Here is a 12,464-nt window from a genome sequence, read left to right as displayed (position 1 = left end):
TTTTGTGAGATGTTTTTTGAGCTCCCCTTGCAGCTAGGAGGCATGGTGTGTGATGCTTCCCTTCTTCTCTAGACAGCTGAACTTCTGCTGCCTATTTTCTGATCTTGAACCTCTCCACAGAGCTCTCTCTACCTCCTTTTATAAATTTGTTCCCCACCTACCATACCCCCTTTAAAAAAAATCCTCTTCATTATCTCTTGTGAAAGTCAGTGAGAGTGGAGTTTGGGGTATCTATGTAGTCAGGCATTGAGTATAACCCAGGTGATGATTAAACATCAGGGTGCCTCCCAAAGCCTTGCCTGTTTTTTTTGCTACTAAAGCCATGGTAGTAGCGGGCAAGAGCAATACCAGAATGTTAAGAGGCCACTCATCTCAGGAAATCCAGGCATGCCTGTCAAAGATATATGAGCTGCATTCACACTCTTGAATGGGAATCAATCAGTTTTTATACATCCCAGCACTTTGGGAGGCTGAGATGGGTGAATCACTTGAGGTCAGGAGTTCGAGACCAGCCTGGCTGACATGGTGAAACCACATCTCTACTAACAATACAAAAATTAGGTCGGTGTGGTGGCATGTGCCTATGATCCCAGCTAATCGGGAGGCTGAGGCAGGAAAATTGCTTTAACTCGGAAGGCGAAGGTTGCGGTGAGCAGAAATTGAGCCACTGCACTCCAGTCTGTGCGACAGAGTGAGAGTACAGTTAAAAAAAAAAACAAAACAAAACTGTGGGCCAATTCTGGGAGGCCGAGGAGGGCAGATCACCTGAGGTCGGGAGTTCAAGACCAGCCTGACCAACATGGAGAAACCCCATCTCTACTAAAAATACAAAAAATTAGCCAGTCGTGGTGGCGCATGCCTGTAATCCCAGCTACTCGAGAGGCTGAGGCAGAAGAATTGCTTGAACCCAGGAGGCCAAGGTTGTGGGGAGTCGAGACTACGCCGTTGCACTCCAGCCTGGGCAACAAGAGCGAGACTCCATCTCGAAAAAAAAAAAAAATTGTGGATAGTATGTTTTTCTATGCAGAACATATTTTAATCATTCAACAAATATTTGCAATCCACCATAACTCAGGCATTGTTTAAGTTTCTGAGTTATAAAGAGGATTGGTATGTGGTACCTCCCTAAGGAGCCTATACCTTTGAAAGGGATAAATACAGGGACTATTAAAATACAGAATGAAAGGACAAATACAGAAATCTGTGGGAGCTTCATGAAGTATGGAAGAGATTCCTAATTTTTCAGGTGGGAAAAACAGCTAGTAAAGATGTCAGAAAAGAAGTGTTGTCTGAGCTGAGTAGAAGAGAAAATGAGAAAAATGGTCAAGAGAAGGGGCAGTAAGTGCCCAGAGATGTGGTAGAGTATGATGTAAGACCAGAGCTATCCAGAGCATAGGCTGACTTGCTAGATAAAATGTGGTGTCGAGGTAGGAGGGGTGAGTGATAAAGCTAGCAAGGTAGAAATGTGCCAGAATATACTCCATGCCAGTGTAAAGCTTCTTTGTTAATCCCAAAGAAAATGATGAGCAATAGTTCCAGGGTAGTGGCGCCATAAGGTTTGTGTTTCTGAAAGACACCTTGGGCTGTGATGTGGAGGTTGGACTGATGAAATCTATGACTGCATTGGGTTATTGCGCTAGTCCAGCAAAAGATGATAAATACTGGAGATAGGGAAATAACAGAGGAAGTAGCAAAAGGGAACAGGTTCAAGAGATGATTAGGAAATGACAGGACTTCGTGACTGACTATGAGTGTGAAATAGAGAAAATCTGGAATAATCTCCATGTGAATGGCTTGGAAGTTTGAAAACAACGTTGTAATCCAACAACACTATGAACACCAACAGGAGCAAAAGGGAAACTAGGAGGCTAGATTTACTCCATTTTGTCCATGCAGATGCAAAAATCCTCTGGGATATCCAAGTGAAAGACATTCCATATACAGTTGGAAAAACTGGTTTGGAGGTCAAAAGCAATGACTTGGCTGGAGATATTTGGGAAATGTTGGTAAGCAGTTGTTGGTTGAGACTGTGGATTTAGATGTGATTGTTCAAAGAGAATATGGAGCTTAAGAATTGAACAGGAAAAAGGACAAAACCCCAAGAAGCCCCAACTTTTTAAGGCTCAAAATCCTGCAATGGCAACAGGAAATCAAAAGGAATGGTCAGAGAAATGGGAATATCACTAGAAATGTGTGCTGTTGTGGAAGACAGGAATGCAAAGAGTTTGAGTCTGGTGAGATAAAAATGAAAATCATTATTTTATGTAAAAAATAGAGGGTTACTTTTAAAAAACAGTTCTGTAGAGTAGTGGAAAGGGAAACTAGATTGGAATGATCTGACCAGTGAATAACTAAAGGAGATAATGTTAATAGTGGATATACGGTTTGTGAACCACTTTGGATACAGTAAAGAGTCATGCAAATACAGCCATGAGTCACTCAGTGATGGAGATACCTTCTGAGAAATGTGTCGTCAGGAGATTTTGTCATTGTGCAAACATTGGAGAGTGTTCTTACAAAAACCTAGATGATATAGCATACTACATACCTAGGTTATGTGACATAGCCTATGGCCCCTAGGCTACAAACTTGCATAGTATATAACTATACTGAATACTGTAGAAAACTGTGGTGCAGTGTGGAGTGTTTTTGTTTCTAAACATAGAAAAGGTATAGCAAAAAAATAGTATTAAAGATAAAAAGTGGTACACCCATATAGGGCCCTTACCGTGAATGGAGCTTGTGAGACTGGGAGTTGCTCTGGGTGAGTCAGTGAGTAAGTGGTGAGTGAATGTGAAGGCTTAGGACATTACTGTCCACTACTGCAGACTTTATAAACACTGTACACTTAGGCTACACTAAATTTACAAAAAATAATTGTGCAATGATTTAACTGCTATGATGCCACTAGGCAATAGGAATTTTTCAGCTCTATTATAATCTTATGGGATCACCATTGTATTAATATGTGCAGTCCATTTTTAACTAAAACATCCTTCTTCAGTATGTGACTGTATAAAATAGGCTTCTATCAATGTACAATCTCAGGTGTAGCCTCTGAATTTGGACCTATCCTTTAAGAAAACTAATCTCTCTATATTTAATTTTCTTATCTCAATGATAAGAGAATCATAAATGATAGAATCAATAGATTGGTAGTAGAAGCTAAATCAACACTTTATCCTCAATACAAATCCCACCTACAACTCTATCCATCCTCTGTAGTGAACTCATTATCTTAAGAAGACTCCTGTCCATTTACTGTACAGCTCCAGTCATTAAAGGCCCTTTCAGGACTTTCTGTTATTATGTCCTGTGGCCTCTTCCCAGCCCTAGATGGTTCAGGGACCTTCCTTTCTTGCCTGCAGGTACATCTCAGACATTTGGTCTCTGCCACCACTATCCCTGCCCTGAAGTTTGAGGATCAAGAAATCATATCCTCACCTCTCCTTTACTATGTGATCAAAGGTGATCATATATGTTTGTATCAAGAATTTTGGAGGAGAATACTGAATAACCAGAATCTCTATGTGTGGCGTAGGAGCAGGGAATATAATTTGGAAGAATACTCCATTTGATTCTAACACACCAGCCATCCATCTTAGTTAAAAAAAAAAAACATATTTTGTTTTTCTGTTTTCAGCTATATCATCATTAAAAATAAAAAGAAATCTGTTATGGGCTGAATTGTAGCCTTCCAAAATTCCTATATTAGAGTCCTAGCTCCCCAGTGGCTCAGAATGTAACTGACCTTGGAGATAGTGTTTAAAGAGGTAATTAAGTTAAAATGAGGTCATCAAGGTAGGTTAATCCAATATAATGGGTGTCCTAACAAGAAGAGGAAATTTAAACACAGGTACAAAGGGAAGGCCATGTGAAGACATGGGGAAAAGACAGCCATCTGTAGGCCAAGAGAGAGGCCTCAGAAAAAGCCAACCCTGCTAACACCTTGGTTTCAAACTTCTAGACTCCAGAATTACAACAAAATAAGTTTTTGTGGCTTAAATCACCAAATGTGTGGTATTTTATTTTGGCAGCCCAAGCAAACTAATATATAATCTAATTAAAACATTGATTCCATTCTGTGACTAGGGCATTTTAAAGGGTTTCTAAGTGATTTCTTTGTTAATCCTATCTAGAATTGTCTCTAGAGTCAATAGTAAACCCAGTTTATGGCATGTGGTTTGCAAGATCTGTTTTCTTCATCCCTTTAAAAATTGGAGATGTACATATATTCAGCCTTTCAGCACCTCTCTTGTCCTCCACAGATCACTAACACAAGCTCATTTTGTATCCAGAGTGTAATCTCAATGGGTAATGAGATTCAAGCTCATTAGAGTAATTATGTACTCTCTTTTTATCCCTTAACTAATCTCAGACTTCAGTTGTTTTTCTCAAGTGTCTTCCTTCTTTCCAGCCAATCATGTCGACAGAGATGATAAAAGCAAATTAGAATGTGGCCAAGTTCATCTTCTCTCTGTCATCTTTCACAGGAAGTGGGCTTTAGGAAATTCTTGTTCTTGTTCTGACTATATTTAAATTTGCAGTGTTTTGCATTTTTGTTAGCTTTATCTTAATCTGGGCTTTACTCTGTCTACCCTATTCTAACAGGTTGAGGGTGCTCTTCATGTGTTTCTGGATGATTTTTCTCTCCTGCCCTCTTTTGTATGATGGAAGTATTGAACTTGGTTGGAGTCAAAGCATTCGAGTGCCATCTATTACCCATACGACCTGCGTCAAGTTGCTTAATCTAAGCTTCTTTGTCAAATAAAGCTAAATCATATCCCATCTTATAAGGAACACCATTATGAAATTATGATTAAATTACATAATACATGCAAGAACACCTTATAAATTATGTATTTCAGACATATACAAAACTTCGTTATTACTATTACTGTTATATCTTTTAGTTCTGTGTTCAAGGGATACTTATAGAGCCACGTTAGTCTCTTCATTTGCATTTTATTATTTTTTTTGAGATGGGGTCTCACTTGGTTGACCAGACTGGTCTTGAATTCCTGGCCTTATGCAATCCTCCCATCTCACCCTTCCAAAGTGCTGGGATTATAGGTGTGAGCAACCATAGCTGGCCCAGCATTTTATTTTTATTTTTAACTTAGATTTTATAAAATTCAACACACAAAAAAGAGCATGTAGTGAAAAATCTCCTTCCTATTTCTCAATCTCCCTCAACTCAATATCACTATTTGGGAGCAAACAATATTTCTTATGGATGCTTCCAGAAATATTTTATGCATATCCATATATATCTTTTCTCCTCTCCCTACCTTTTTACCCACATAGTGACATCCTATCAGTTCCTTTACTTACCCTCATCTTTTTTTTCTCATGCTGTCACAATCTCTTTGCTGGGAATTTCCTCTCCTCATTGAGTTGTCACTCATTTATATTCTCTGATTTGGGTTCAGACATTTATTTTCTCTCAGGTTTTAAAATATATTCTTTAACAGTCCATTTTGTACACTTAACTTTGCACAATATGGTGATGGGTTCCTTTCCCCTGTGATCATCAATGGAAGAAGAGAAGAAATCACCACCTTTGGCAGCAAGCAACATTTTACAGACCGAATGTAAGATCTGTTTGTTGTTGTTGTTTGTTTTTGAGACAGGGTCTTGCTCAGTCATCCAGGCTGGAATGCAGTGGTGTAATCATGGCTCACTGCAGCCTCGACCTCCCAGGCTCAAGCGACCCTTCCACCTTAGCCTCCCAAGTAGTTGGGACTACAGGTGCACACCACCACACTTGGCTACTTTTTTTTTATTTTTTGTAGAGACAGGGTCTCACTATGTTGCCAGGGCTGGCCTCAAACTCCTGGGCTTAAACTGTCCTCCTGCCTTGGCCTCCCAAAGTGCCTTGGCCTCCCACAGTGGTGTGAGCCACTGTGCCCAGCCAAGATCTTTTTTAATTAAAGGTGGTGTTTTAATGTTTTCATGAAAGGCATTACAGCATAATGGAGGGAGGTCATGCTTTAGAGTCAGCCAGACCTAACACCTGGCTCTGCAGCTCTTAAACTGTTTGGCACTGGTCAAGTTCCTGAACCTCACCTCACTGAGTCTTCATTTCCATATTTGAAAAGTGGAAATAATAAATAACTACCTCAAGGGTTATATTATGTAAAGTATATATAGTGGGTGGTATGTCATACATGCTTCATAAATATTATTGATCCTCTTGGTTTTACTACTATTTTACATGTATCACATTAATATTTTCTCACTTAAAAAATAACTTTCATTAAACAAACTCCAAATCATAATCAAGAAACATTTCTTCTTTATCTACTGCATTTACAGGACTGAGTCAGATGGTAAAAATACAAAGAAGGAAAGATATATTCCCCTTTTTGCAAGGAGATTGCAATCTAAGTGGGAGGCATAACGTATACAAAAAAACAATAAATAGTACAGAGAATAGAATCGGAATGAAATAATTTAGTAATAAAAATAGAAAAGACTTTCACATGAAGGAGAGGTGAAATCATGCTAAAGACAAGATGCTCTATTACAACATCTAGTGTTGTTATAAAATTATGAGTAGCTCAATATTTAGAGGAAAAAGCAATAAATAGCAAATTAATGTAACAAAAACAGTAATTTATATATATTTTATTCTGCTTTTCTTAAATGAGGAATATGTTCTGAAGACTGACCATGCTGGAACAAAATTAACTTCCTTTCCACAAGAACTCAAATTATTCTGTTTTGTTCATATGTAGCATGTTCAATATACCAGGTGTTTTATAGAGAGAGAGAGAATGTGGCTGGGCATGGTGGCTCATGCCTGTAATCCCAGAACTTTGGGAGGCCAAGGCGGGTGGATCATGAGGTCAGGAGATCGAGACCATCCTGGCTAACACAGTGAAACCCCATCTCTACTAAAAAATACAAAAAAATTAGCCAGGCATGGTGGTGGGCGCCTGTAGTCCCAGCTACTCGGGAGGCTGAGGCAGGAGAATGGTGTGAACCTGGGAAGCAGAGCTTGCAGTGAGCCTAGATCGTACCACTGCACTCCAGCCTGGGTGACAGAGCAAGACTCTGTCTCAATTAAAAAAAAAAAAAGAAAGAAAAAGAAAAAGAAAAGAGAATGTAGGAAAGCTTCTATAAAGATACAGTTTAAATTTGAAGACTTTGTTTCCTTTCATTTGAATTCAATGAAGTAAATATAAGACACAATTGGACCAACAGTCAATGGAAACTCATTTCTTGTTGATACAACTACATGTCTGTAAACTCTTTCTTGTTATTGAAGTTATTTGCCAGGGACTTAAAAAAAACAAAAAGGCTCATGACAACCCAATGAGCCTGCCTTGCTCACTTTCATGAGGTGATTCAAGTGGACTATACTGCATGAAACCTCGAACACAATAGTTGAAATCTCTGAATGTAGCGGTTTAATCAGGGTGGAGAATATATTGCGGGGGCGATTAAAAATTGCATCAGAGAAATAATGATCCGTCCTTTAATTACTTTCCTTTGTAGTTAGCTTAGATCAATATCAACTGTTTGTTTTATTCAAGGTCTTTTATTTTTCCTTTTTAAAGAAGACATTGCGTGACTGTGCAAGTACAAGAACTAAGAGAAACTCATAAGCACTTGGCAGAGAAGGTTCAAAGTGCACTAAAAGTGACAGACACTGGTTCCTGCAAAGAAAGGCCTGTGCTGTGAAATACCTAACAGCTCATCCAGAATAAGAGTCAAAATAAGGTTACCATCTTTTGTCTAATTTTTACCAAGGTATGGCAAACTCTTAATAAATGTATGACAATAGAAAATTTAAGGTTATATACATATTGGTGTTTGGTTTTGGTTTTGGTTAAATTTTTAAACATTTTTGTGGGCATATAGTAGGTGTGTATATTTATGGGGTACATGGCATGTTTTGAAGCAGGCATGCAATGCGTAATAATCACAGCATGGGAAACGGGGGGTATCCAACCCTTCAAGTATTTATCCTTTGTGTTACAATCCGATTACACTCTTTTAGTTATTTTTAAATGTATAATTAAATTATTTTGACTGTAGTCACCCTGTTATGTTATCAAATACTAGGTATTAATAATCACATCATGGAGAATGGGGTATCCACCTCCTCAAGAATTTATCCTTTGCTAGTTGTTTTAAAATGTACAATTAAGATATTGACTATAGTTACCCTGTTATGCTATCAAATATGAGGTCTTGTTCATTCTTTCTATTTTTTTAACTATTAGCCATTCCCACCTGCCCACCTCCCCCACAAGATGAATGAATAAAGAAAATGTGATACATAGACATACTGGTGTTTTTAAGTGAATCTTCTGAGTGTTCCCTTGAATGAAGCTACCCATTGGAGTAGCTTCGTTACTATAGTTGCCCCTTTTAATCTTTCCCGGGGTTCTCATTGTTAGTGCCAAGTGTTATTACTATTGTTGTTGTTTTATTTTTTGCCAAGGAAAATGAGGAAATGAATATTAGCTTTTTTAAAAACAAAGGACGCCCCAGAAGCAAACCCAAAGTTCCCATCCCATGCCAAATTGGAAAGAATGTATGGAAGTAAAAGAAAACATACTTTCAGGGTGGCCTATTTTGAGGGCACGTCTTGTGATCTGCGAGGGACGTTGCACCTGGTTCCCAACACTGATGTCACAAACAAAACCACATACTCCTTTTGGGTGTGGCATCATACTGGGGCATTGTACCTCCTTTAAATTAGATTCCATTGATGGAAAATTTATACATGATTTGGAAGATAATCTAGAAACAGTCCAGGTGTTCATGTGAATGCTAGAACGGACATCATCCCTTCCTGCGATGGCAGGGGCTGTCACAGATCTTCTTTAAGGGATTGTGTCTCTGAGCTGGGGAGTCATTGTGTCACCCACATTGGTGGGTTAGCTTTACAAAGAGTTATGTTGCCACATTGCTGGGTCACATTATCCTGCCTCATCCCTGCCAAAGGTAAATTCACACAGGGCATTTCTCTTGTGGTTTTGTGGCCTCACATTTTTCAACCCATTACTAGGTAGTGTCATAAAGAATTAAGAGGCCGGGCACAGTGGCTCATGCCTATAATATCAGTACTTTGGGAGGCCAAGGCGGGCGGATCATTTGAGGTCAGGAGTTCGAGACCAGCCTGACCAACATGGTGAAACCCCATCTCTACTAAAAATGCAAAAAAAAAAAAAGAAAAATTAGCTGGGCCTGGTGGCGCATGCCTGTAGTCCCAGCTACTCAGGAGGCTGAGGCAGGAGAATTGCTTGAACCAGGAGGCAGAGGTTGCAGTGAGCCGAGATCATGCCACTGCGCCAGCTTGGGCGACAGGGTGAGACTCCAACTTAAAAAAAAAAAAAAAAAGAAAAGGAAAACAATTAAGAACATGGGCTCTTGGGGCAGTTTGGGTCTGAGTCCCCGAGTGGCCATGTGACCTAACCACTGTGCCTCATCTCTTCATCACTGCCTTTTTCATGAGGTTGCCTTAAAGAATAAGAAAATACACAAAAAGTGGTAGAATACTAACTGACTCATTGTAAGTATGCAGTAAATGTAAGCATTATTATTAGTGATATATAATAATCACTACACAACTAGGTTTAATTTAAATGTCAGAGAATGAAGTATTTTGTCAAGAATTGAATAGAAACTTCTCATTGTCAAAATCCTTGTAGATATTCATCCAATCCTTATATGAATATATTTATAATATTTCCTAACACTAGTATAGTAAATAGTGTAATACTTCCTAACACTAGTATAGTAATGTAACTTCTGAAGATAATCTTGCAGTGCCTCAGAATATCCTTCTGAACATGATTGATCATTATAAAAAATTGAAAAAAGCATGGAAGTTTAGAATCAGTATGCATTGACCCAAGTAATCCCCTTGAAGATTCCAAAATTGTAATGCATAAGCTATGTGAGGGTTTCTTTCCCATACAATTTGCTTTTAAAAGGGAAAAAAATGCACACAAATCCAACCAAATGATTCCAGTTAGTTACAGCTAATGGACATTTCACCATACTTCTCAAATTTCTCAGACTTGCACATTTATCTCTTTTGAATATGGGCTTTTAGATACATTTCCCAAAAACTGAAACTAGAACTTGTGCTTGTGTGTCTATAAATTCCTGTATAAAAGATGGATGCTTAGAGGGCACAGCCAAGACATACACATTCAGAAATTTAAAGACCTTATTTGATAAACAAGAAAGAATAAAATCAAGTAAATTAAAATTTTAACTCAAGAAGCTAGAAAAGTAGCAACAAAATAAACCAAAGAAAGCAGGGAGAATTCATAAATGTCAAAGTAGAAAATAATAAATGAAAAAATAGAAATAAATAGGATTTATAAATAATCTAAGATCAGTTTCAGTGAAAAGTACAGACAAAATCTGGCTGTTTTAGTCGAGAAAAACATAGTAAAAATTTAAATGTTATGACTATAGGCCAGTAAGAAATTAAAAATTATCAGAGAATATTATTCATAATTCTTTGCCAATCTACTTGGAAAAACTTGATGAAAGATATAATTTTTCTAGGAAATATATACATTTTAAAAATAGAGAAAAAGGAAGAAGTTAAAACAACAATGAAGGAACAAATAGTCACAAAAGAAATAAACGAAGTTGTCAAAGTATTACTCCCTTTTTGTGCATCCCCTCATAGGTCTTATGATAATTTTTTAGAAAATCTTTTTATAATAAACTATGTTTATGCTAATGAAGCTATTATATAGCATATAAAACTCTGGACATTAAAGTATATTTATTACTTGTGGCTAGCATAACATGTTACTAGAACTTGACAAAGGTAACAAGAAGAAATAAGATTCTAGGATACAAAATCATAAGAAAAATTAGCAAGTCCACCAAAGCATTGAAAAGAATATTAGGTGTTGGAAAAACACCATTTAGTTTAGAATTGCAGTGATAGCTTAACACTAGGAAATCTAGTATGTAATTTACCACATTGATAGAACAAAAGAAACAAAATAATAAAACATATTTTATTATAATAAATGTTAAAAGTGCCTTTGATAAAAATTAAACACTTTATTATAAATCTTTCAGTAAACTAGAGATAGAAAGATGTTTATATTATCTGACAAAGCATTTTTGTCACAAATCAAAGCCAACATTATTATTTGAATGTTAAAAAATACAGAAACTTGCAATATAATCCTGCTTATCATTTTTCAATATTTTTCTGGAGGAACACCCAGTGAAAAAAAGTAAGCAAAAGAAATAAAAGGTATATCTCTTAGTGATACTAAACTATCATTACTTGCAGAGGGTAAAATTCACTACCTGGAAAACCCAAGAGAGTCAACCGACAATAACTAGATCTAATAACTGAGCTCAGAAAAGAGGTCAGATACAAAATAAAGACAATGACACAATGAAGAACTTCCTTTTTTTTTTTTTTTTTTTTTTTAAGACGAGTCTCACTCTGTCGCCCAGGCTGGAGTGCAGTGGTGCGATCTCGGCTCACTGCAACCTCCACCTCCCGGGTTCAAGCGATTCCCCGGCCTCAGCCGCCCAAGTAGCTGGGACTACAGGCGCCCGCCACCATGCCCGGCTAATTTTTTGTATTTTTAGTAGAGATAGGGCTTCACCATATTAGTCAGGATGGTCTGGATCTCCTGATCCTCGTGATCCGCCCGCCTCGGACTTCCGAAGTGCTGGGATTACAGGCGTGAGCCACCGCGCCCGGCGAAGAGCTTCCTTTTGCGCCAGTAATAATCAGTGGGTAATCCACAAAACTTTGGGATCATCTAAGATTTTCTAGTTATAGGGAAACTTGAGTAAGGTAGCCAACTATAGTATGAAAAGAATGGCTATATTAATAATCAAAGAGATATAAATTGAGATGGCAATTAAATAGTATTTTGTATCTAAATTAGCAAAGATCAGAATATCATAATAACCTGTGCTGATGAATAGAACAAAACAAAGCACTCTCATATATCATTTACAGAAATGTAAATAAATATAATTTTACTTGTGGATATTTCTTTTTTCATCTATATATATTTAAGTTTTATTTTATTTTAGATTCAGGGGGTATATGTGCATGTTTGCTACATGAGTATACTGCATACTGCTGGGGACTGGGTTTCTAGTGTACCCATCACCCAAATAGTGAACATTGTACCAATACGTAAATTTTCAATCCCCACCCTCCTCCTACCCCTCCCCCTTTTGGAGTCCCTAGTGTTTATTATTTTCATCTTTATGGCTTTGTGTACTCATTGTTTAGCTCCCACTTATAAGTGAGAATGTACAGTATTTGGTTTTCTGTTTCTGTGTTGATTCACTTAGGTTAATGGCCTCAAGCTACATCCATCTTGCTGCAAAAGACATGATTTCATTCTTTTTATAGCTTTGTAGTATTCTATGGTGTATATACACCACATTATCTTTATCCAGTCAACTGATGATGGACATTTAGGTTGGTTCCATAA

The 12,464-nt window shown here is 37.5% G+C and overlaps 3 long non-coding RNA genes across 9 annotated transcripts in view; 2 read left to right on the top strand and 1 right to left on the bottom strand.

Moving 5' to 3' along the window:
* Positions 1-8,625, bottom strand: part of LOC105370256 (uncharacterized) — a 42,020-nt gene extending 33,395 nt beyond the window's left edge. For 5 of the 7 annotated variants that reach the window (XR_001749902.1, XR_001749904.1, XR_001749901.2 and 2 more), the window contains exon 1: positions 5,335-5,422. This is a non-coding gene — a long non-coding RNA (uncharacterized LOC105370256). Of the gene's footprint in view, positions 1-5,334; positions 5,525-8,572 lie in introns of those variants that run through there. The other 2 variants (XR_942064.1, XR_942067.1) reach the window with 2 other exon arrangements.
* The window catches only part of LINC00393 (long intergenic non-protein coding RNA 393), a 116,003-nt gene that overhangs the window by 60,878 nt on the left and 42,661 nt on the right, over positions 1-12,464 (top strand). The window lies entirely within an intron of this gene.
* The window catches only part of LOC128966561 (uncharacterized), a 17,214-nt gene continuing 10,256 nt past the window's right edge, over positions 5,507-12,464 (top strand). Inside the window, exons 1-2 of the long non-coding RNA XR_001749905.2 lie at positions 5,507-5,594; positions 7,566-7,758. This is a non-coding gene — a long non-coding RNA (uncharacterized LOC128966561). The remainder of the gene's footprint in view (positions 5,595-7,565; positions 7,759-12,464) is intronic.

This window comes from Homo sapiens, chromosome 13, assembly GCF_000001405.40.
Source record: "Homo sapiens chromosome 13, GRCh38.p14 Primary Assembly".
Lineage (NCBI taxonomy): Eukaryota > Metazoa > Chordata > Mammalia > Primates > Hominidae > Homo > Homo sapiens.
The sequence above is the reverse complement of the archived record's forward strand: the minus strand, read 5'-3'. Positions and strand labels throughout refer to the sequence as shown.